General features: G+C 44.3%; 2 protein-coding genes across 27 annotated transcripts in view; one reads left to right on the top strand and one right to left on the bottom strand.

Annotated features, from left to right (window-relative positions):
- The window catches only part of DOCK1 (dedicator of cytokinesis 1), a 547,089-nt gene that overhangs the window by 230,930 nt on the left and 290,029 nt on the right, over positions 1-26,130 (bottom strand). The gene's annotated exons all lie outside the window — the stretch shown is intronic.
- Positions 24,996-26,130, top strand: part of INSYN2A (inhibitory synaptic factor 2A) — a 61,162-nt gene continuing 60,027 nt past the window's right edge. For 5 of the 6 annotated variants that reach the window (XM_005252694.5, XM_017016539.3, NM_001039762.3 and 2 more), the window contains exon 1: positions 24,996-25,590. The gene's annotated coding sequence lies outside the window, so the exon portion shown is untranslated. Of the gene's footprint in view, positions 25,591-25,809; positions 26,037-26,130 lie in introns of those variants that run through there. The other variant, XM_047425637.1, reaches the window with a different exon arrangement.

Genomic DNA, 26,130 nt, shown 5'->3' with positions numbered 1-26,130 from the left:
GGATAAAAGTAGCTGACACTGAAGGGATGTCACAAGGATGACACATGGGCACATGGATGCCCAGAGCTCCCTGAGCAGACTGGAGCTGACCATGAGTGAAAGCACAGCCACCCTCTCACCTGGAGAGGCCCTCCACACAAGACACACATGTCTCTCACGTTAACATACATGAGGATCAATATCTTGAGTTAAGATCTTGATGTTAGTTTCCTAGGGTTGCCATAACAACACACCATGCACTGTGTACTCTTCTTTACCTCATAAATCACACCCATAATGCATTTTCTGCAATTTCCAGTTTCAGTTCCTTTAAAGAACTTGAAGACATAGGAAAAACAACGTGAATATAAAATGCTCCTCCATTTTTACGATTTCTTCCAACCTTTGATAATGGTTCCACCCACATCCAATTCAACAGAAATTGCTTAGCAACTTGATTTTCTTGTACTTTCCATAGCTAATTGAAAAATAAAATACCATAGCTTCCAGTTACACTTTTTTGTTTATGTATATTAAACAAAGCTAAACATGGACCAATGGTACCAACAGGTTTGCAAACAAATACCGTGACTCTTAGCAACCACACATCTAAACTGGTGAGTGCACAGTTATCCCCATAAAACCTACTGCCTTCCAGCTGCTATTCTGAGGATGCTGAAAGCATCGGCATAGAGAGAGGAGAGCTCTGCTCCTCCATGGAGCCTGTGAAGTGGAGGCCATTTAACAGCACTTGTTTAGGAAATAAATCTATAAGCAGAGTATTCAAAAGAGAACAACTTAAAAACAGAGGGAAAAATCAATTAAAGGGAAAAAAAAAAGGGCAAATTCTTTAAAGGTAGAAGATGGAATTCTACGGCCCCCATCTTTGCTTGTAATTCTTGTAATCTCCACCCTCCGCCCTCCATATTACTGAACTGGACTGGGGACACCGATCGCTCCTCCATCCATGCCTTTGTCCAATGCTTGGCTCTACCCCACAAAGCTCCTTCTTCCCTTTACAGCTAGGGTTGCAAGACAAAATCCAGGACACTCAGTAAAATTGGAATTTCAGATAAGCAACATTTTTTCTAGTGTAAGTATATCCTAAATATTGCATGGATAGACTTAAGTTTTTTTTTTACCTGAAATTAAAATTTGACTGCATATCTTATATTTTTATTTGTTAAATGTGGCAGCCCCACGTGCAGTTCATTCTTGCCCATTCACACTCAAAGCTGCTGCAACACACACGTCCCTGGGCCTCCTGGTTCTCTGTTCCTTCCTCCCCACTCCTGCCTCCTCTTCATTCTCCTGTATCCTCAGTCTAGGGACTCATCAAGTTTCCCTACTTAGCTTCTCCACACTCTTTCTCTGCAAACTCCAAACTCTGGTATATTTAAATATCACATCAACTGAGACAGACAACTTCCCATTTATCTAGGAAGACACAAGAGGGGTCAATCTAGGATGCAAAAGTGGAAGGAATGAATGTTTAACTACATGAAATCTTTGAACATTTTTTTCTCTGTAATTTTCTCCTAATGCTCCCAGCATTGATTTTGAACTCATGCTCTGTGCTGAAGACTCTGTGAAGGATGGAGGATACAGAAATGTAAAGATAATGATCTCAAAACTGTAGATTCTCAATCTGTAAGTAAGACTATCCTGTGAATGGTGCACAGGACTGCCAGGGTGTAAGTCAACACTAAGAGACATTCTGCACCTGCTGAAGATGTGGGCTGGGGCCATGGTGGGTGTCACCAAACAGGATGGGCTGAAGACGGGGATGGGATAGAGTGTAGGATAGAGCTCCATGGGCAGGGTCATGGTTGGCAATGGAAATAAGTATGTTGGGAAGAGGATTCCACCTCAAGAAAGGCTGTCAAAATTGGCCCAATAACCTAGAGTAACCAAACTCATAGAGACAGGAAGTAGAATGGTGGTTCTACAGGTGCTGAGAGGAGGGAGAAATGGGGTGTTGTTATTTAATGGGTAGAGAGTTTTAGTCTTATAACATAAAAAGAGTTCTGGAATTTAGTCATGCACAAATGTGAATGTTCTTCACAATATTGAACTGTACACTTAAAATGGCAAAGGTGATAAATTCTATGTGATATATATTTTACCACAATTAAAAATTTTTGAGAAGAAAAAATCAGCCCTGACATGACCTAGCATGCCCACATAGACAAAATGGCCAAGGACTAATTGGCCTAAGCAAGTAGGCCAACTGCTGATGAGAAAGTTAATATAAAGCTAAGTAACTCAGAAATAGCCATATGCTCAACCAAAGCCTTTCCTTCTATAATATAATACTGCTTTGATAAGATGGCAAAGCACATTCACAATTGTTGGGATGTGTAGAATATATTCAGAAACTGCACTTCCACCCAAGATGAATTTATGGTTTCTTCTTTACCCATTTATTCTACTTTCTCCTGAAAGGAAAACTTCAGAACTAATCTGCAGTCCCCACTACTTAATTTGGGGAATTAAATAAACAATATGCTAGAAGTTAGTCCTTGCTACAGTTTGAATGTGCCCCCTCCAAAATTGCCAGTGCCAGTGTGATAGTATTAAGAAGTGCATCCTTTAAGAGGTGGGATTAAGGCCCTTAAAAAAGAGGTTTCACTTAGCCCTAGGTTGGCTTCCCTTTCCATCCCACCAGGAGGGGACACAGCTTTCTCCCCTCCAGAGGATGAAGCAACAAGGCGCCATCTTGGAAGTAGAGAGCAGACCTCACCAGACGACCAAACTTGCTGGTGCCTTGATTTTGGACTTCCCAGCCACCAGAACCACGAGAAACAAATTTTTGTTCTTTATAAATGACCAGTCTCAGGTAATTTTGTTATAACATCACAAAGTGAACTAAGACAGACCTTAATACTGGTTTTACTTTGATTGGGAAATAACAACAGAAAGTGGAGGGAAAAAAAGGTAAGAGACATTGTATTTTAATATGGCACCAACTGTGCAGAGTCCATACGGTCATGTGTGAGCTTTGAAAAACCACTGCTTCATTTCAGCACAAACAGTCAGAAGTCATTCCAAGGGAACATTTTTGGTTGGCAGAGTGAGAAAAGGTTGATAATCACAGGTATGATGGGGAAAATACTGAACAGACTGGGAGTCGGAAAACTTCTGTTCTAGTCTTAACTTTGGCCAAGAAGTAATGCAAGTCATTAACTTATTGTCATTGAAGAAGATTTCCCTATCACCACCTCCAACCAAAAAAAAATGGAAAAATCCCTTGAAGTTCAAAAGTTTTATGACTTGATGATTCCATTGTGAACCAAAGTTCTCTGGCTCTACCATTGCTGGTGTAAAAAGGAAATGAGCAGATTCTGTTTAGATAAAACAACAATTTCAATTGTTAAGTCTCATGTATACTACTGCATATTAGGTCAAATTATAGTTGTATTTCTATAAATATCTGTATTCAAATACATTAACAAGGATTCTCTTAGATTAATGAGATTAATTACTTTCCACAATTTTTAGATTTCATAAAGATACTTTTTTAAAAATTTCAACTTTTATTTTATCAGATATTTAGAACAGCAGAATAGAATGGAAAACTCAGAAATAAAGCTGCACTCCTACAACCATCTGATCCTCAACAAGGCTGAGAAAAAAAAAAGAAAAAAGCAATGGGGAAAGGACTCCTTTTCAATAAATGGTTCTGGGATAACTGGCTTAACATATGCATAAAAATAAAACTGGCCCTTTAACTTCCGTGATATGAAAAAAATTAACTTGAGTTGGATTAAAGATTTAAATGTTAACACCTCAAACTATTAAAATCCTAGAAGAAAACCTAGTTAATACCCTTCTTGACATTGGCTTTGGCAAAGAATTTATGGCCAAGTCCCCATAAAGGTATTTCTATGTGGCATGTTTTTCAGATAAATGTTACTAGCATATAGACAACCTTATTCTTCAAGATGCAGAAGCATATTTGAATATGCTCAGATTTTTAGTATGTTGGCCTTATATATCTGAAACAAGACTTTATCATTACTTCCATGTGGTTCTGCAAACAGATAAGAAACTGTTAAGTGAACTCAAAATTTAATAACTGAAAATAAAGATATGTTTTTGCTATTTTTTAAGAGAAGGATGAAAAAATCTTAGGAGCTCAAGGTCTCCTGGCCAAGTCCAGCAAGCTGAACAGACTGCCAATACACATGATAGGCTTCTTGTCAATTTGGTTTCCAGTAAATCAGCATATTATCAGTTTATGAGAATTACAATCCATACAGCATATCACTAATGAAATAAAGCCCAGTGTGAAACTACTTAAACCGCTTATGTTCTGCAGTTTCACAGGGGTAATGTGCAGAATCCAATTAAAAAACCTGTTTTCATCTGTTAAAGCAGGAAACCAAAAACTAACCCCAGGTAAAGTGAAATAAGAGGGTGTTTGCAAGAGTCCCATTAGCACAGACACTGGTTCTAGCTCTAATGTCCTGAGACATGGCTTTGGAATGTTCCTATTCTTTTCCTGCCTGTGCCCCTTCCCTTCTTTTCTCTTTCTTTCTCCTCCTTTCCTTCCCTCTCCCTCTCTTCCTCTCTGTTATAATGTAGCCTCCATGAAACTAAAAAGCAAGGGCTCTGCCCTGATCTCAAGGCAGGATGCAGAGGCTCGGATTTCAACCAAATGGAAATGATGCCAGTTGTGACAGGCCCCATGCACTGCCCACGACATGTACTCACCACAAAAAGAAAAAGTCACATCTGTGGTAAAACGACTTTCTACTTGGTCTGACTCTTTTATTCAACTAGCAAGTTTATTAAATCAGCAATTTTTTTTAAGTACTTCAGAACTTCACCAACCTTGAAAAGTCATGAGACAAGGCACTGATTTTGAAAATTAAGGTAAAGGGTACTTTGAGATATGCCTATGTTTCCTGAACAGCAAAGCTCTGGGGCGGTTGGGATGGGTGCATTACTATTATTATTGAGATGGAGAAATCACGACTTTATCAAAAGGAACCTTTTGCCTACATATGAGAGTGGGGTTTATCCTCTTCATTTTCCAGCCAATGGAAAGGTGAGGTTGCCCAGCCCAATGGCTGTAAGGCACACGCATCAAGAACACTCTTGGGGCGGAGACTTCCAGGACAAGCTAGCTCAGAAAGAATTCCACCCCTCTAAGCAGGAGTGGTCTTCCCAGCAATAGCTGGCAATGCTTCCAAAGACAGGCAATAGTCTCTCTCTGCCCATAAGTATCTGTATCCTGCGCTTTCAGGTTGGTTTCGAGGGCTTGTTTGTTCTTTTTCTTTTTTTTTTTTTTTTACTAAATTATCACTTTGGCATGAAGACTGGTAGAAAAGCTCACAGATAGCTACTTCCTAACTTGGGTACTTAAAAGCATATATAATGAAAGATACAAACAGGTTTTTGCTCTCCCTAAAGCAGCTCCAGGACGTGGCAGACTACATCCTCTCTAGAAAACATTCTCATTCATGCATGTCATTGTCAGCCCCTTCCCTACCTCCTGGGGATCAGGGATTCTATTACACTCAGTGAAGGCCCGGTCCTGGCAAAGCTAAGATAGTTTACTGGGGAGCAACATCTCTGAAGGCTTACGTTTCAGATGGAAAGCAGCAGTTAGATAATCCAGCAATGCAAACACAAACGAATATTCAGAACCACATTTAAATGAAGTGGTGCAGTTCCTTTTGGCTGAAGGTACTTAGTAATAAAGGGGAAATCTTGTTTCACTGCAGGGATTATTTTGATGTTTTTGCTTTTGTTGTTTTCTGGGGGGTGAGGGGGGGTGTTGTTTGCTTGTTTTTGCTATGGTAAAGTTGGGTTGTGACTATTTTGAAAATGTCCATACATCATCCCATATGTAGGTAGGACTTTTTTTCCTACTTATTTTTCTTTAGGTCAATTTAATATATCTTGAAATCAACCTTGGGCGGCATATTTTAAGCCTTTGAATGGGATTTAGTTACAAAAAGTGCCCATCAGTCAAAAAGCATTATCAAAGCCAATCTGTCTATTTCAGGGTCTAAAAAAACAAGGCAGAGCTGTTTGTTCACAATCCATCATTATTGGTACCTGCTAGCAGGAACTCAAGATAAACAGGTACAGAATGTAGCTACAGCTTCTGCTCTAAATTATCTTGGTTAGATGCCCCGGCTATCCGTGGGAACTGGACCTGCCATGCTTGGCGCCAAGTAACAGAGACCCTCCTTTCAGTAGTAGCACCAGGCGGACCACAGAGGGATCACATGGAGCTGCGTGGCTGGGTCTTCCCTAGTGCTCCATGGATGCTGCAGGAAACCCGAGGCCAGTGGACCAGGGGAAGGAAGACAGGGCAGGGCAGGAAGACAGGGAAAGCTTCCTGAGATTTACAAACAGCCACTCATGGATCCCAGGACTCCTAGGGATGTGGGAGAACATGATTACACAAGCTGTCCATTGGGTGTGGAACGTGGCTGGGGATGTATTCTAAAGAAGGCTGATAGCGAGGCAGGAAGGGAGGCAGGAGTCCTGGAAGAGGCAAAGAACAAAACGAGAACCAAAGGGAGGCCCTGGGTGAAACAGATGCAGGGCTCAGGGTGCCCGAGGGAGACTGTACACGATGATTAAATGAGGGCAACCATCCTGCACGTGAGGCGGAAAGGAGCGGGTGACCAGGCTGGATACTTAGATTCTCACTACCATATTCCATCACATAGAAACTACACGCATATGTTTAAAATGACAATATCATAAATATGATTCTGGGTTAGGACAAGAGGAGGAGTGGCTGAGAAGGAATCACGGTAGCTGAGTCTTCATATTACTATTGCTGTGTAGACCACACTTCTGAAGCCTAAGAAACACTGGGGGCCTCTGTTTCCCTAAGGTAATCATCTGCCTTAAGGACCTGTTGGCCTGGCAATCCTACCCCGGGGTGTGTTTCCTGGAGGCGCTCTCCCGCAGGTGTGCCTGGAGATCGCTAAATGCAGGATCTAACACGCTGTCCTAATAGCAAACACTGGCATCACCCAGGTACCCATCCATGAAGAGGGGTTACGCTTGCTGCCATCTATTCCTACAACAGGAGTATTATTCAGCTAAGAAAACGAATGGACCACAGCTGCACCCATCAACCTGGAGAGACTGCAAAACCACAGTGCTGAAAGCTAAAAGCATGTCATGGAAAAATATATATTGTTTGACTCTGCTTCTATAAACGGCAAAAGGAAGCAAGGCTTAAGAACATATTGTTTAAGGATACATTAATATGTGGTAAAACTAAAAAGAGAAGCGAGGGAAAATGAATCCCAAATCTGTGTAGAGACCACATCACAAAGAAGAAGACGTGCACAGCTGGGCGGGGGGAGCTACTCAGGGACTGGAGCGGGAAGCATTACAGAGAGGCCCACTGAATGATTTGTCATCTCTACATATGTATTTCTTCTCTTGTATGAATGATCTGTTTTGATTTAAAAGTGAAAAAAAGGTCGGGTGCAGTGGCTCACACCTGTAACCCCAGCACTTTGGGACGCCGAGGCGAGTGGATCACAAGGTCAGGTGATTGAGACCATCCTGGCTAACATAGTGAAACCTTGTCTCTGCTAAAGAAAAAAAATACAAAAAAATTAGCCAGGCATGGTGGCGGGTGCCTGTAGTCCCAGCTACTTGAGAGGCTGAGGCAGGAGAATGGCGTGAACCCCAGAGGCGGAGCTTGCAGTGAGCTGAGATGGCGCCACTGCACTCCAGCCTGGGCGACAGAGCAAGACTCCGTCTTAAAAAAAAGAATGAAATGATGCTGATGAATATTACTGATCAGCTGGAATAAGGCAGAAACGTCTACAGGGGAAGCTCACAGCCCCTTGTGCGCTACACAGCCAAAGGAGCGTCATTTCCCAAAGTGTGTTTCCTGGAACGCTGGCCACGGCAGCCTAACAAAAAATAAATAAATAAGGAGCCTGTGAGTAAGGAAAGTTAGGAAAACACTGTAATGCTGAGCCCTAATCCCTCTTCTACAAATGCTTGGTGTACATTAATGTATTCACGTTTCTGAAAGCACTGCTATAGGGAAACATTTTTCATTCTGTTCATCTTGGTGTTACCCAATCTCACGTGATCAATCTCTTTAAAGAGAACTTATCACTATTCCAATCAAACATTTTGAAAAACACCCCCAAAAATGATTCCAAACCATGTAAATTCCACCCTAGCTCAGAAGTACACAAAAGTACTTTATGAAGAATAAATCAGACCTTTCTTGGGAACATTCTAGGCATAGAACCTTTCCAAAGCATTAGAACATATCACTGATTGCTTTGAATAAAAAGAAAAACTACCCATCTTGTTCTTTCTGTCTCTAGCATCCTACTTCTTACTTACACTGATGCCCACACTTAACTTCCAAGTACTGTCTTAAAAATCAAAGAAAACATTTTTCTCTCTCTTCCCTTCCCAACAATATTCTGAGCTTTTTGAAATACATGTAAAAGAAATATCTATGCATATAAAAGCTTTCATGGGTACACACAAACAAGAAGTAAGGTGTCTAAAGACATACAGCAAGCTGTCGACATTACTGAGTAATCTAAAGGGGATGGATAGAAAGGGGATGGGGGAGAAGAATGATTAATTAGCTTTGACTTCATACATCCTTATTGTATTATCTTCACTCATTACAAAAAGCAGGTATTACTGTTAAATTTTTTAAATAGGGAGGTTGTTTAAATGAAAACATTTTTCCAAACGTGAATTGAAAAGCAAGAAATCATCACAGAAGAGACGCTGAAGCAAAAATGAGATTCTCCATCCTTTTTTTTTTTTTTTTGGCAAGGGGTGGGGAGAACATGAAAAAATGTTGACAAAATAAGTCAAGTAATTAACAAGGTACTTTCCAAGCCCTTAACAGAGAAGCTGCCATCATGGTCAGGTGTAATTATGGATTTAGAAAATTCATCCTTCATTGAGAAAAAAAAAACAACACTCCTAAAGGAAATGAGAGCTTCGGCCTTGCTGGGCATCGGGAAATCACTACAAGGAGAGGCTTAACTCACGCAGGCTCCCTGAAAGCACAGAGGGAGCTAAAGAAAAATAATTCGAGGTGTCTGCAAGCGAGAAGCACAGTCCTCCACCGTTCGCACCTGCCCGCTGAATCAAAGGCTTTGAATACTAGAGGCTCTTTACCTTCTAATGGAAACACATTCTCAACTTCTGTATGGATTAGATCTCACGACGCTTGCATATTCCTTCAAGCATACATGAGTATAAAATCATGTGCAAAAAATAAAGTCTCACTTTTCTTGATATGCAGCCAGTGTTGTCACACGATGGCCAGGTAGAAGTTTCCTTCTAAAACCACTTTTACTTGAGAGCAAAGACCAAAATGATTCTTGAAATAATTTAATGCCTTACCCAAGCAGACACATCACGGAAAGCCGCCTTGTAAACAACTCTGAGAAATCAGTGAACTGGGGTTAAATAACTCTGCTTCCGTGAGGATATCATCCTCGGAGTCATTGAAAGGATGCACAGAGCTGGAATGACACACCCACTTGTGATGGGTGATTGAATAATTTTGTAATATATGCTTATTCACCAAAGCATCAAGTCCTTCAAGAAGGAAAACACATTGTATTCTCAAATGCAAATTTAATTTTATTTGCAGGTTTAAATCTTTTCAAAGGGCACTACTTTGAAACTCTGGAATATTGGCGCACTCTGCAGAGCTTTCGGAACATGCAGTGGGCTGGCTGACACTCACAGGAAATGATTTGCAAGAGTCCAGCAGCGGGGAAAGGCAGGTGTGTGCAGGGACCTCCTTGTATCTCAGCGCACATCCCATGAGGATTCAGGGCTCCCATCCTGGGGGTGGCCTGGACAGCAGGGCTGGACCCTCTGTCATGACGTCTTCACTTTTCACCAGGTACATGCGTTATTTTCAGTATGTTTAGAAAAACAATGCTGTCTGAATTTTTCTTATTTGGCCAATTATCTGATCCATAATTTCTGCTATGAAGAAAAAATCAATGTCTTCAAAATTCAATAAATGAAAGCTGTGAAATGTCAGCAGCAAACATGACAATAATAAAAAGCACACAGACAGTTATATTTCCTCTGTGAAACAGCAGGTCCTCATCAGATGACGTCTCAAGACCCCAAATTCACTAACAGGGGATGGCGATGTCTATAAAGACACCAAATCGGAGACACAAACGGCAGCTTTGCTAAGGGCAGTAGATGAATTAGGAGCATGCTTATCAGGGGTATTAGGAGCATGGCTGAGAGGAGTGTCTCTCCTTTTATGATGTCTGACAGCATCAGCCCAGAACCCGAGTCTAGGAGTCTGCTGAGTACACTGAGACAATGTCTTGCCTGATAGATGAGACATGAAAATCCCATCTGTCTGGCAAGTTGCACTTGGCTTTCCTTAGCTGCCCTTCCTGCAGTTAGAGTGCAGGACTCAGCAGCCCAGCTAAGGCTTTAAGAAGGATCACAGACACAATTGTACAGTTTCACTTCCACAAGATGAGTAAGTTCTAGACATCTGCTGCACAACATCGTACCCAGAGTTAACAGTACCGTAACGTACATTTAAAACTCTGTGAAAAGGGTGGATATAAAGTGTTCTAAATAAAACAAAGACAATAAAATAATAAAGTACAACAAAATGCTAAACAAAATATAATAAAATATCATGGGTCCTATACCAAGAGCTGCTGGCTGTAATACGTTTAAGTCATTACGCCACGTGTCACATTCAGAAATCAGTCACAAGAATATTCTGAGTTTTTATTTTTCTCTTTGGAGAAATTCAGTGACACCTAGAACAATGCAGCGGAGGGAGAGGATCTGCATTAGGCTTTAAACTTCATGAGGCTGAGGAACCCTCAGAAAAGGAAAACAAAAAGAGGCAGGGGGAGAGAGCAGAGGCCATGCTGCACTCACCAGAGGGGCAGAGTCACCAGCTATGTGCCTGGCACCCATGCAGTCCATGGCTGGAGCCACCCAGGGAACAGGCAGTGGCTCAGAGGCAGGACTCAGGGACAGATAGAAGAACCAAGGTTCAACGAGACAGAGCAAGAGGGAAAAAGAAACCCCTCTGCTTCGGCTCCTGGTAGACGTGCATTTCCTGGTTTCCCGGGCTCAGCCTGAGAGTTATTCCACCGTAATCACAGGAAGCCCTCCTCTGACTGCATTATCATCCAAATGCACACGGTTCTACATCCTGCAGAAGAAATTCTCAGGCATCGGTCCCTTTACAGCCCCTCTAATGCCGCCTGCCACCTTCGTGGCTCTCCACAGCTTCCGTGGGAGTCATTTGCCGAGACAAGCAGGGGCCATTCTTCCTGGGATGAGCACTGGGGCCACCTTATGTGGCACCGCCGAAGTCCAGAGCGCATGCTGATGGCAGCACTGTGAGGTCTTTACAGTGGTTTCCATAGGTAATGGGCCAATAACCACCAAATGTAAGACTTCATAAAAAATCTCATTCTCACTGTGAGGGAACCAGGAAATGGAGAAAAATCTTTTCTTATTTCTTGATTGGGGTTTTGGGGAAGTCTGGCATCGCATCATAATGTATCCAGGTGACTAGAAAGAGAGAAAGATGATTTGTACCAGCAGCCTAGCAGTCAAGTTTGGAATTCCTTAACCTAAGTCTCCAAGTCCACGGGACTTACCAACTCCTGCAGCCTTACTAAGGTGAATAAAATTAAAATGAGGTTTATTAAGTAGGCTCTCAACGGAATGTCTCTGCTGAGAGATTCTGCGTATTTAGGTGTGTGTGCTAACAGGAAGAGGTGAGCACATGCATTTATAACCACCTTTGCAATCCCTGGGACACTCCAAAGTTCTTTCCATAAATTCTATGTGTAACCTTTAATTGCCCATTTGTGGGACATGTTGATTTTTACTCCACATCTGCTGGAGCACCTACTGATGTGAATCATTTTCCTGCATTTTCACTACTTGTCCGTTTTTCAAATCCATCATTTACAAATGAAAGGCACCTCCACTCAAGGTAAGAAAAATGGATTTGATGATGCCCTTTAAGCACCCAGCTCTAGTGGTATAATGTGAAATACACCCCAGGGCTGTACTGTTGCCTCTGACAGTAAGGATGAGATGGGCCCTCACCCTTGCGTCTATGATGTCCTGAAAGTCACCAGGTGCCCAAAGGACACACAGGCACCACCCAGTCCTTAGCTCTGCTCTCCAGGCGGCTACTTCTGGCCCTTGCTCCTATTTTCAATCTCCAGTCTCGGATGAGGTTTTCCCACACAGGGTGACCTCAGATTTTGCTTTATTTTATGAAAATCCAACTTAGGCCCTAAAATAGGCACATGCACTTGCATTTTCATTCTTAAACTCCAAAAGCAAGCTCAATCTTCTCCTAACTTCTGGGAGTTAAACATTCAGACTCATCCACTGGAATCTCAGTGTAAAGAACTGAAACCTTCTCAAAGCTGCCACTTGTTGTGGATGGAAATAAAGTTAAAAACCAAGGAACTGATTCTGGATCATCAAATAAATTTCAGTGTTTCCAGTTATGCAGTGAGAAGATAAATTCAAAGATGTTTCCTTCGGTTAAACACACATGAAAAAAATGCAGTGTAGGTTAAGCTTTTCATCGCTAGGTAAACAAAAAGCCATCACCTAAGAGAGGCTGTATTAACGACCACTTGGTAAGTGGTAGCAATATACACAGTGAACTAAATTTAATTAATAAGGAAGCTCCACAGTCTTAATGACAGGCAACACAAAAATACTGCAATAGGAAATTAAATTAGAACTTTATCCTAGGTCTTTAGAGAATATCTCAACGTTATTATCTTAGAGAACATCTCAACGTTAGATATCATCTAACAGATGATATCGTGTTGACAAATTTGAAAGTGGGGTGCTAATCCACAATGAAGCTCAGTGATCTCAATGTTCACTATGTCACATTTTGTCATGTTTTTAAAAAAATGAAACGGGGTCTTGAAATCTTGGCTTCCTGATAATATTCAAATCTGAGGCATTAAATATAATATTCAAAAGGATAACCAACTGATTATTGATTTTTATTTTAGTGAAAAAACTCATGTTAAGCTAATATATAATCATTTTTCATATGGTTACAGAGAACAATTATAGAAACTTAACTATTCATCTCAATTGTTTGGAAACCATCAATACAGGAAACTAAATTACATCAGTCATCATAATAGCTCCAGTATTAAAACCCTACAGCAAAGATACTCCATTGGGTTGCATGAAATACTAAATCAATCAGCTGGAGATGAAAATCCAATGCTGACTGTCCAGGATTGTCTTGTCAAGTCTTCTCTCAGGGGAACGTGGTGAATAAAATTATTGGACTAAGGAGCCAAACATATATGACCGTCCATTTAAAGCAATTACTGCACTTTAGTTCCCATAACTGGAGCATTCCCATAACTAAGACAGCAAAATTCTTCCGTTTCACAATGACAAAGACATTACTATTCCCAATTGTTTGTATGGAACTGTTTCTTACTCAAATACTAACAGATGAATGGCCCCTTCACCATATCCCCTGCCAGAAGTAATTCTTGATAGGATATACTGCTCTAATTCTGCCCAAATCGCAGAGGAGGCCGGGTGAGCCTACAATCTAGCGTATGTAAGAAGCAAAGGGGAAAAACACTGAATTCTCCTGTGATCAATCAAACGCATCAATTCATTCTTAAAATTTGGGTCTACATATGGTATCAAAATTCTGTCCAACAACTTATGCTATAAGCCAGGGGTCATAAAACTATAGCCTGTGGACCAAATCTGGCCCACCTCCTGGTTTTGTAAATAAAGTTTTGTTGGAACTCAGTAGTTGCCCATTTGTCTACATATTCTCTACAGCTGCTTCCCTGCTTCACCAGCAGAGCTGGGTTTTCATGACCTTTGAAATGTTACGATGTTATGGCCTTCAAAGTCCAAAATATTTATAATGTAGCTCTTTAGGAAAAACTTTTAACACCTGCTATGAGCTATTCTTTCAATCAACACGTAGATAATAAAGTCAGTTGCCTATTAAGACAATCCTAAAATGTGAGAATTGTCCATGTTCTCAATATGTACAGGAATGAATACTCTCCCATTTTCCTGGGAAAAGAGGAAGAGTACGTCCAAGTCTTCCAAAAGTGTTATTGGTACATTCAGGTACAAGTTAAACAAGGCCAAAATATGCCTATCTTTTGCTTCACTAAAATTTGAACTGTTTATCTGGTATTTCTGGAGACAATTCCTAATCACCCCCCAACTTCCTTGTAAGCTTTCTACATAAGATTCCTGACTTAGTCACATTTAGGGACCGCCCTGTACTTGCTGCCTCATTTCACAATGGTGCTGATAACAGTGCCCAGTTTCACGGAGATTTTAGGAGGATTAAGGTGAGATCAGGATTTAATTCTCATAAAGCTCTAGAACTATGACCAGCAAGAACTGGTTGGCATAAATTGAGTTAGCTCAATTAAGACTGGAGAATGAGGGAAGGCTGTATTTTTCTTTTTCCCCCATAAAGGTTCAGTTTCTTCTGGCAATTGCGGTCCTATTCTCTGTGAAGTGCAGGCAGGTTTTGGGAGAGATTACACCTCCACTGCCAAGAAAAAACTCAAAAGCATTAGAAGTAAAATACTTAATAGGCCACTAAGTCTGTTTATATTAGGAGTAGCAGGGAGCTGGATATGGTAAAAACAGGAATAAACTGATTTAAATTGAAAAAGACCTTCAGACGTACTGAAAGACAGCACATTGTTAAGTTCCAATGGAGCAAAGCTTTGAAAAATGGAGCAGGGAAGGAATCCTGCACTATTCCGTAAGACCAGCTCTTGATTTTTCATGTCCTATCAATATTTCATAGTTCATAATGTTGTCAAAAAATGAAAATTAAGAGATGTATGTATAAAGCAGCTAACACAGTGTCTGGCTCTTTGGGAAGTACACGAGGTTCTTTATTTATTGAGCTCGGATTCTACTGAATAAATGCCATCCAGGAGGTGGAGGGGGACTTTGGAGAACATAGAGCACCTAAGTTCTGCTCTCACAGCGCAAATCACATCAAGACTCTCTTACCCAAGGAACATGTGCAGAAATCCACAACAAACAATTCTGTACATTGATAGCGTATTAAGTAAATGCATATTCTTATACACATGTATATATAAGAATATACAGTAGGCCGGGCGCGGTGGCTCACGCCTTTAATCCCAGCACTTTGGGAGGCCGAGGTGGGCAGATCACTTGAGGTCACGAGTTTGAGACCAGCCTGGCCAACATGGCAAAACCCTGTCTCTACTAAAAATACAAAAATTAGCTGGGCATGGTGGCGGGTGCCTGTAATTCCAGCTACTCGGGAGGCTGAGGCACCAGAATTGCTTGAGTTTGGGAGGTGGAGGTTGCAGTGAGCTGAGCTTGCACCACTGCACTATAGCCTGGGCAACAGAGTGAGACTCTGTCACAAAAAAAAAAAAAAAAAAAAAAAAAGAGAAGAAGAATATATGGTAGATGACAATGTAATAGATGATGTTCTAAAAAGTCACCTTTTAAATTATTTTGGAAAACTGAATCCCTCTAAGTGCATGATAAACAGTGGTTATCTGAAGGTAGCCTTAATCAAAATGAGCATTTATTTGGTAAGGTTTACTTGTTGATAAGTCATACTTGCATGTAAAGAGTTTGCTTAAAGTGCATTATACCCATAGATGATAACTCTTTTAAAATAACTGACTCTACTCTGTATTCAAACAGAGAGACTATTCATGCTTGTCAAGAAGTAAAGAACAGGGGAAGGCTATGGGAGACCATTGTGTCTTACATGGTATATAGACATTTCTGCTTTAACGGAGCTTATTTAAATTTCATGGCAAACATCACCCTGTTTCAACACTTGTCATATGAATCGCAATTTAAGCTGATTGCACTTCAGCAATGTTTAAAAATGTCCTTTAAATACTAACAAAATATGTATTGTCATCGAAGAAGCAAAAGTCCAACAAGGAACTTTACACAGGCCTAACGTATGGAAGAGGAACATTTCTTCGTAAAGCCACATGGTGTTTGCTGTGGCCACCTGCCTCCATCCACTTACGCCATCAAGAGTGGGTGGTTGCCAAACACGTGTCTGAGTTCAGCTTTAATCTGCTTACCCTATTTTCTCAGTAGAGGTTCTGTAAAATATCAAATCGAATGCATCATGCAACTCGCCCACCACAACAGAGATGGAACGTGGAAATCCCAGGGCTGAGAGACCCAGAGGATGAACCAGGCAGGCCAGAAGCTGCACTCCTTCATCCACGCTGGAGTCGGAAGCAGAGAAAGCTCCAGAGTGAAAATGTTCATTAACACCCACGGACCAAAAAGGAAAGAGCCAATAACGTATGAATCTGAAGGTGAAGATGTTGGTTCTCTACCATTTTCATGGTGTGAATGAATCACAAGTCTTATTTTAAGGGACTCAGAAGTATCATCAGCAGTTCCATGTGACAATATTTACTCTGTGGGGAAGGAAAAAATCAGTACCTTTAAAATAAATTTCCTCATTGTCATATTTGGGTTCAGAGAAGAAAAAAAAAACCATCAATAAATGTTATTTTCTATTAGAACTTAGGGGCATCCAGCTCAGATAGCCCAAGGCATGGTAATGAAAGGGTAACTTTATTGCTCATGGTCATCAAACAGAGCCAGGCCACCCACAGTCAAATGGGGAGGGTGACTGATCTGGAGGCGGGTCATAGGATAGCAAGTCATGTGCAAGGATGGCTTGTCCAACAGGCCAAGAGCAGCCATTGAGGGTATCGGCTATCACGGCCTCTCAAAGCCACATTTACTTCTTACCTACTCAACCCTAGGTGATCTTCTTCAATGTTTAACAAATTCTGAAACAAATGTCTGGGATGCACACTGGAAACACAAATAAAATGAATTTAGGTTTCCTTTCAACTTTGTACTGAGTAACAGATCTGTGGGACAAAGCTACTTCACCTTTTGAGTGACTCAGTTTCCAAACGCCCATCTCTATTTTTTTTTAAAAAAACGGTCAGGCACGGTGGCTCACGCCAGTGATCCCAGCACTTTGGGAGACTGAGGCAGGTGGATTGCTTGAGGTCAGGAGTTCGAGACCAGCCTGGCCAACATGGTGAAACCCTAAGTCCACTAAAAATACAAAGATTAGCTGGGTGTGGTGGTGCATGCCTGTAATCCCAGCTACTCAGGAGGCTGAGGCAGGAGAATTGCTTGAACCTGGCAGGCAGAGGTTGCAGTGAGCCAACATCACATCACTGCACTCCAGCCTGGGTGACAGAGTGAGACTCCATCTCAAAACCAAACCAAACAAAACAAAACAGATTTTCAAGTTTCTTTCTCGAATCCACGGAAACAGCCAATAAATGAACACAAATGGGAAAAAGCTCTGTAGGATTTGCCTCCCTCGCTTAAATGAAATGAATATTCTGGAATCTTAAGATCTTCCCTTTCCCCTCTCAATCTAGGAAGGCCTAGGAGATCACTCAGAAGCCTCCGTCCAGGCAAGGGGGAGAAGGTGCCAGGGAGCTGTGACTGCCGAGATACAGGGATGTGGATGAAGCCAGGAGCGTTTGTACAACATTCTAGCCATATTCACTTTAAACTATGGACACTGGAGTTTCTAAAAAGAGAAAAAAACATTAAGCAACATTTACAAGCCAAATTCCCTGCCTTTCTTTGAATCTCAAAAAAAAAAAAAATCAAAATTGTGTAAGAAATGTCTTAAAATAAGTTTTTGATTTTTTACTTTAACTTTAGTTAGTGGACTAATATATGAGAACCCCGAAGTGAGGGGTGCACACACATTTAGAGTATGGCACAGCTGCAGAATGTGCCAAAACACAAATTAGGTGAATTGGACACGGGGAGATCCGCAGCCCTACCGTGCAGTGCAATTAAAGCGAAGACTGTTTAATTCTCCAAAGACTCAATAATATGAAAAAAAAAAAAAAAACGTTTACGGAAAACATGGAACTGACAGTTCCAGGAACTCAGAGGTCATCAAACATAACTAGAGATTTTTTTATTTTTAATTCTGTACTTTTCCCATTTGGAACTTGGTGTTAAAGAATAAAATGCTTGCTTTCCAATGTTTCATAGCTTGTTATCACATCACCCATGAGCCACGCTGCGAAATAAATACATCTAAAGTCAGGTCGTCAATTCTTAGACCAAACTAGCAAAATAATTTATTGCACTAAGCGCATAAAATGTCAAGGGTAGGTAATTAGAATTATATGCACAGTGTGTTAGTCATCTTTAAAAAAAATAAAAACACATATCCTGTCCACTATGACTGAATCTCAGCAAATGACAGCACCAAAGAGGTGTTCAAGATAATCAAAAGGCCATGGTAATACGATGCCATTATACATGGCACCAGAAGGGTGTGAAGTGGCCTCTTGTGGTATAGATGGGATACGTATATTGTGATGAATCATTTTAATAGCTGTTATTCAACGAAGAAAACGTGAGAATATCACTGAAATTATATTGGGGAAGCTTAGAGTGCTATCGAAATGCAAAATGATTTGAGTATATTGCTGTTTCAGTGCCTGTTTTTATTTCAAAGTGTAACTAATACAGTGAGATAATGAGGGACGGCTAATGACGACAAAAGAATGCTGGTCAAAGCTACTCTCCAGCCAGCCTGGACGCAGCATCAGCTTCCTGAGAGCCTGGCATGAGCAGTTGGCATTTTTGGTCAGAATCTGTCCTCTGGTTGCATCAGACAGAACTGGATTTGAATCCAGGCTCCACCCCTTCCTAGCTGTGTGACCTTGGAGAGATCATTTACGTTCTCTGATCCACATCTGTGGAGACAGTTTAACAGTATTGAGTGCCCAGTTATCTGGTAAGAACCAAAGTATATAATCCACAATGGACCGAGTACCTGCCACCCTGGAGGCGCACAACCGAAGCGGAGCATCATTCTCATCGAAGTCTCATATTCAGTCAGGGCTTGGGGAAGGAAAAAAGTACAACAAGGAGGCTTCCATGTTCCTTGCCTTCCCCTTTACCCCATCCCTCTTCCATGCCTGTGGAACCTAAGGTGGGGATGGAGGGCAAACAAGGAAGTTCCTACACCCCCCAGCTGGGAGAAGACTGCAGGCCTCCCTGCAGCAGCTCCCTAAAGAAAAGCCTCCTGTGCACCGGGGCAGAAGGCCTGGGAAGGGCAGCCAGTAGCTCCAGCACCAGCACACAGCGCTGGTGGGTGGAAACTCAAGTGTGAAATCCATTCTTACCCCTTCCTGTCCTAGTTCTTTTTTTTTTTTTGGAGACAGAGTCTCGCTCTGTCACCCAGGCTGGAATGCCATGGCGCGATCTTGGCTCACTGCAACCTTCACCTCCCAGGTTCAAGTGATTCTACTGCCTCAGCTTACCGACTAGCTGGGATTACAGTCATGAGCCACTATGCCTGGCTAATTTTCCTATTTTTAGTAGAGACAAGCTTTCACCATAGTGGCCAGGCTGGTCTCGAACTCCTGAGCTCAAGCAATCTGCCCGCCTTGGCCTCCCAAAATGCTCGGATTACAGGCATAAGCCACCGTGCCTGGCTCCTTCCTGCCCTAGTTCTGATCAGAAGTGTCACTCTCTGTGGGCATGTCAGCCACTTTATGAGAAGGTGGCTTCAGCAGGCTCAATGAGACTGGTGGCCTTACCAGCAAGGATTAAGACAAGCCCATTGAGCCATCTACCTGTGCTGAAGAGGTTGGCTCCCCAGTGACGAGAATGGGATAGTAAGAAACCCTATAGAAACCAGCACCCAAGACTGACCAAATAAAGGTCAACAAAATAAAGGGTTTCTGTTTCATTCCCCAGGAGTCCGCCTAAAAGAAAGGAGAGGCTGCAGTTGGGAGGGGAAAGCCTTGGGGTTTGCTCAGAGCCCTGAAAATGAGGGATTGTGAGGGGAGAGGGGAGAGCCAGAGTGCACGCCTGCTCTTCCTTATTCCCATACATCACTGCCTCAGTTGCAGGGAGCATTAGAAAAAAACAAAAACCTAGAGCTACTTCCCTCTCTTTCAAAAGGAAAACCTTCCATTTCTGTGGATAAATCAGATTCACAATGATGCATCATAGAAAGCCAGGGATCTCAACGAGTCCTCACGATGCTCAGGTTTTCCAAAACAAATTTGTATTTCAGGCCAATAAACCATCTCTAGTTTCTTACCATGAAAGGAAAAGAAAGCCAGAGGAGTGGCATGGCCCTGGAACATGGACCAGCACCTCAGAAACAGCTCTGGTTCCCACCAGAAGGAAACACGGCTCGGCTGCCAGGACCGTGCAAGAGCCACGGGCAAGGGGCTTTACACAAAGCGAGAGTCTTAAACCAGAAATAAGCCCAGAAAGAGGAGAGTGAAGGCTCGAGCAGAATATGACAAGGGGAATGATGCAGAAAGCCTTCCTGCAGGGCTTCTCGGCAGAAAAGGAGGCCCCACTGGGGCACCTTGAGGATTGTGTCTGTCTTGTTCTTGAAAGACAAGGCTAAAGTGTCCCCAAGGGAATGATCTCGACCCTACAGGTCGAAGGCGATATGAGTTACTTTTCCCTCGTAGGCGTTGAGCACTGGCTGATCTGCTACCACAGCTTCTGAACTGACGGGTGTAACCTGCCCATCACAGACTTAGGTTGGGCTCATCTATGAGTCTCTTTGGAATATGCAGATGTCAGAGGCATCCGAACCACAGCGACTCCATTTTGAGTGAGGACTAGAGAAATGAGGCTGAGACTTACTGGGCTGCATTCTTAGAAAGTTAGGCATTCCTCACCTCTAGATGTTTAAGGTTAAGGGAACACACTGGTGATGTTTACTAAACAGACCCAGACTTGGGAGTGTCCTAATATCCAGACATCCTGAGAACAAAGGCGTTCCTAATTTTACTTTAAAGATAATAATATCGGGCGCAGTGGCTCACGCCTGTAATCTTAGCACTTTGGGAGGCTGAGATGGGTGGATTGCCTGAGCTGAGGAGTTGGAGACCAGCCTGGGCAACATGGTGAAACCTCATTTCTACTAAAATACAAAAAATCAGCCAGGCGTGGTTACAGGTTACTCAGGAGGCTGAGGCACGAGAATTGCTTGAACATGGGAGATGGAGGTTGCAGTAAACTGACATCACGCCACTCTAGCCTGGGCAACAAAACGAAACTCTGTCTCCAAAACAAAAACAAAAACAAAAACGAAAACAGATAATATCGATTCTTGCAAAATATAATAATTAAGAAATTTAATCCTTTATCACAAACCCTCGTAGCAGAGCAGAGCTCCCCATATATATGAGTATTGTACCTAGGCTGGACGCATTCCTCCTCTTACTTTTGGGAATGTCCCACTCTGTCTATGGAGTAGCTGTTCTTTCACTACTTTATTCTCTTAATAAACTTGTTTTCACTTTGCACAGTGGACTCGCCCTGTGTTCTTTCTTGTGTGAGATCCGGGAACCCTCTCTTGGGATCTGGATCGGGACCGCTTTTGTGTAACAAAGACATGGGAAAGAAAAATTCACGTCCATAGCGAGCTCTGTCACAGCGACATCGGACAGTTGGGAGGGCAGGCGTTTCATCGGCAGTCTCCTAAAGAAGGAAGTTCTGCTGTGTAGCTAAACTGGAAGGCTCCTCTTCTGCAGTTGCTAGTTTGGAGACACTTTTCTCTTCTCCTGCCTTGCACACTGGAGAGGATACAGGTTAATCACACTGACAGATACACTGGTTCACTGAGGGGTAAGGGTTATTGGGGAGCATGCATGTGGACATTGCAATGACACAGTGATGATGCTCAGACAAATGAGGTCACACTGAGACAGGAAGCATCTCCATGAATTTCTATATAGGTGGAAAACTGCATAAGCAACTAGTGCAGGAGACAGAATGATCCAGCACCAGTGAAGTTGCTGTGGTCCCGGGCAACGAGTATGCCTCAAAGGTAATCCCCATTCTGATATTTTCCACCATTGATAACTTTGTCGCATTCTTGGACTTCATCTAAAGGGAATCATGTCATAAACACTGGGCGTCTGGCTTCCTTTGTTCTGCACCTTTGTAGAAGCCCTCCATGCCAAAGCATGCATCAGCAGTTAGTGCTTTTGGGTTGCTGTCTAGTATTCCACTATACGAAGAACCAAGAAATCTTTATCTACTGTTGACTGGTATTTGGATTATTTCCCGTTTGGAACAGATATAGATAAACCTGTTATGAACATTCTTGAACATGTTTGACTTGTATATTCTTGACTTTTTAATGTGGAAATTGAGACCTCAAACTCACTATACCATAGGGGTGGAATTCCAGCAATTCTCTGTACAACCCCTGCACAATTCCAAGAAGAAGGCAAAAGAAGAGAGACGTGGATATTTTGCTTAGTTAGCCGTCTTGAACTTTCCCTTATTTTTATTCCTCTGCTTTTAGGAAATCCCACTTGAAAAGTAGCTATTTTCTCCTTTGCAAGTCTATCTTTTTCAACAAAAATCTTAAGCAAAATATAAAAAGCCAATACCAATTGATTCCTAAAATGAATCTATCAAGTTTCACTTTTTTTTTTTCCTGAGGAAGCCGAGCATATTGACTCATTCTAGACCCTAAAAATATGCCTACATCCCATCTATTAAAAAAAAATGCAAGAGGGATCTGTGGGCAGGAAGATGGCTGAAACTCCCTTCTCTCCAGCCAGCCCCCAGCATGATGCTTGCTTTAAAGCCTGGAGCATGATGACACACACCTCACCCATGTGGAATATCTCTCCAGAGCCAAAGGTAAGGTGAGGCAAGTTTTCACCAATATTTTGATTTGTGATGCTGAAGACATGCACTTAAGCACTACAATATGTAAATGGTTTCCTACTTCAAAAAAAAAAAAAAGAAGCGATGCCAATGATTTTAATAGACTTAGCAAAACAACTGTAAGTCTACTACACAATTGAACAACTCTAAGCAGTCCTGATGATGCTACAGAATTCCGTTATACTCTCCTCTTCATGTAAGTGGATTTTCTAACCTGCCAATTACGGCTTTCCATTTTCTTCCTGGAGTTATACATCATGCGAATCTCAGATAGCACTGTCCTTGGAGCTGTTTTCTTGCCAGTTCACAGTGCCACCTGTGGCTGAGCACTGCCTTGCTGGGCATGCATTTATGTTGACCTGTTTTCACTCTTGGTCCCGGAAAACTTCAGCCTTCTGATACTACCAGCCCAATGCCCAAGTTTCCTGGCAGCTTTATTTACAGTCACTTTAAAAGACGGAAGGCAGATTTCAATTTTATGGATTGCCAATAAAGTAAGATTTACAGAAGTTCCCCAGACCACTGGGAAAATTACTGGAGCCCACAGCTGCAACAGCACATCCCCAAGGGAACATGCTGGAGAGTGGCAACTTCTCCTATCTGGTTTTAAACGTCCCCAACTCCTATACATTCCCTTCCCAGGCCCCTTCCAGGCAGAAGAGGGGACTGCAGTTTCCATACTGCTCACACAAAATTAAGCATCTCTTTCCAGCCAGCTCCCAACAGCCTCCCTGGTAAGCTGGAAAATCAGCTTGGGGGATCTGAGTTAAGAAGAACAACAAGAAGAGTGAGGTGGGCAGAGTTTGGATCCACAGGCTCAGGACTCCCGTCCTGGGCATATCTGGATCCCCAAGGCTGGCAAAATTGTATACCAAAGGATGCTGCGGGGTAAAGAGGGAAATAGATGACATTTTAGATTTTTTTTTCTTCTGAAATGTCTGGACACACTGCCCAAAGCATCCACATACAAAGAAGGTATTTCGTATAAAGTCATTTATAAAAAACAGACACTCTATAAGGCAGTGATAGGCTCAGTTCAGCTCAGCGAACAAGGATGGAGCTATGGCTTGGTCACAGGCACAGAGCTGGTGCTAGGTGCAGAGACTCAGGGATGTATAGGCAAAGAGGTCTCACTGCCCACTGATGTGTCTGGAGAGGTGGGTGGGTGAAGGGACTTTCCATTTGTCCTCCCAATTTCCTCTCCGAAGCCTGTCCCTTCCCTGGGGTCCACTACTTCTCTGACCTTTCCTGAGAAACAGACTAATAAATGTGGCTACTTACATTTTACATTACATTCTAGGAGCAAATCCAGGGGGCCAGGAGCCCTGCACTCGGCTGGCTGCTTAGTCCCTGGCCCAGACCCCAGGGCCTGACAGGCATCAGAGGGGCCCCTGGGTCTGCTGCTCTGAGCTCAAAACACCCAATACTCTTTGGTGGGTGGGAAATTAAGGGCGGGGATAGCTCCGTGTGCATCCTAGGTCTTTTCCTCTCCCAAGAGAATTCTACTCTGCCACAAAGGAACTCAGCCTCTGCGCCCTGTGGCTTCTGCTGACGGGTGGTGTGTGCTCTGGATGGGGGGTAGGGTTCCTGGCTAGGAGTGGCAGTGGCGCCTGCTCTGGAGTGTCCCTAAATGTCAGCATGCAACATTACCAGGCAGGCCCTCCCACTTCAGTCCTCAGGCCACTCATAGGACCTCCTGTCCCCATGTAGAGAGGCTGACACCAGGTTGGAGCCAGCACTGAAAGGATCCCCGAACTCCTGCTTCTACAAGGCAGCATCCGCAGGTGAGCGGCCAGGCACCTACAAGACACGCACCCTTCAAGCCTGGCTTCCCAAAGCCCCGCCGGGCCAGGCTGGCTGGCACAGCAGACAGTCATGCAGCAGGGTCCCCAGCGACCCCCCATCCCTGAGAGAACACACGGAGTCCCCCGCCCGCCAGCTGCTCCGGAGGCGGCTCCAGGGTAGACTCAACAAGTTCCCGGGCCATGCAGCGCCGCCTGCAGCCCAGAAACCCGGAGGACGCGCTGTGGCGGAGCCCCGCGCGCAGGCGGCAGCCGGCGGCAGCCGGCGGCAGCTCCTTCCACCTCCTCCTCCTCTTCCTCCTCCTCCTCCAGCTCTGGCGGCGGCGGGAGGGGGCTCCTCCACTCCCTCCCTATCCCCCACCCCACGCACGCGGCCCGGCCCGGCCCGGCCCCGCGCCGCCCCCGCCCCACCTCCGCCCCGCGGGGCCCGGGGCTCCGCCCGCCTCGGTGCCAGCCGGGCGCACAGGCGGCAGGCGCGCGGCTTGGGGCGCCCTCGCCTCTGGCCGCCCGGCTCCGCGGAGTAGCTGGGACCTGGAGCAGCGGAAAGGACTTCCCTCCTGCTCCCTCCTCTGCCCCGCCCCCGCCTCCTGGCCCTGGCTCTGAGATCTCGCCGAAGACAATTGCAGTAAATGAGGACATCGGAGGAGCGCGAAGCCGGGTGGCTGTGGCTGGCTCCGCCGCGTCGCGAGCAAGCGAGCGCGCGGGCGTCCCCGGAGCTGGCCCAGCCGCTGCCTCCCCGCGCGCGTCGCTAAGCGGGGCCGGAGGGACGCGAGCGACGCGAGCTGCGGCGCGGGGGCCGGCCGGGCCAGCAGGGCCGGGCCGGCAGCGGTGGAGGGGGCGGGCAGCAGGCGCGCAGCGGGCCAAGTCCCCGGAGCCGAGGCTTCCTCCGCGTGAGCGCGGCGAGTCTGGCCGCGGATGCCCTGTCCGGAGTGCTCCGTGCCGCCCCAGGCTTGCCAGGGTCCGCAGCGAGACATGCCCGAGCCAGGCGCTGCATCGACCTCGACTTATCTGTAAGCAGCGGAAGGTAAGCGGAGCCCCGCGTGCCCTCCTCCCGCGCCCCCGCGCCCGTCGTACTTGGCCGCGGGCAGAGCACCGCTGGGACGGGCGCCGACCCCGATTCGGGCGCACACACTCGGCCCCAAACCGGCTTGGCCGGAAACTCGGCGGCTCCCGGGGCCGGGACACCCCGGTGCAGCCGGGAGCGGACCCGGTGCGGTCGCAGGTGGGGGGCAAGGTTATGCAACTGCATCTGGCGCGACCGGGTCGCTGAGGGGCGTCTGGCAACTTTGGCGACGTCAGGGAGGAGCGGGGCTGCGCCTCTGCGATGTGGGTTCCAGACAGACGCCACAGCTTCGTGAGCGCCCGACAGCCCTAGCCAGGCAAAACTGGGAGATCTGGGGGCGGCCGTCTCCCCGGAAGGTTTCGAGGCTTTTAAGTATTTTCCAAACTAAAGCGCCCTGGAAAGTACAAGTACGGCTGATTAACTTCGGGGGGGGGATGAGTTGGAACAGAGGGGCCCTGACGCCGGCCGTTGAGGAGAGGCGCGAGCAGCAGTGAAGGCAGA

Source organism: Homo sapiens, chromosome 10 (assembly GCF_000001405.40).
Source record: "Homo sapiens chromosome 10, GRCh38.p14 Primary Assembly".
Classification (NCBI taxonomy): Eukaryota; Metazoa; Chordata; class Mammalia; order Primates; family Hominidae; genus Homo; species Homo sapiens.
This window is presented reverse-complemented; position numbering and strand designations above follow the sequence as displayed.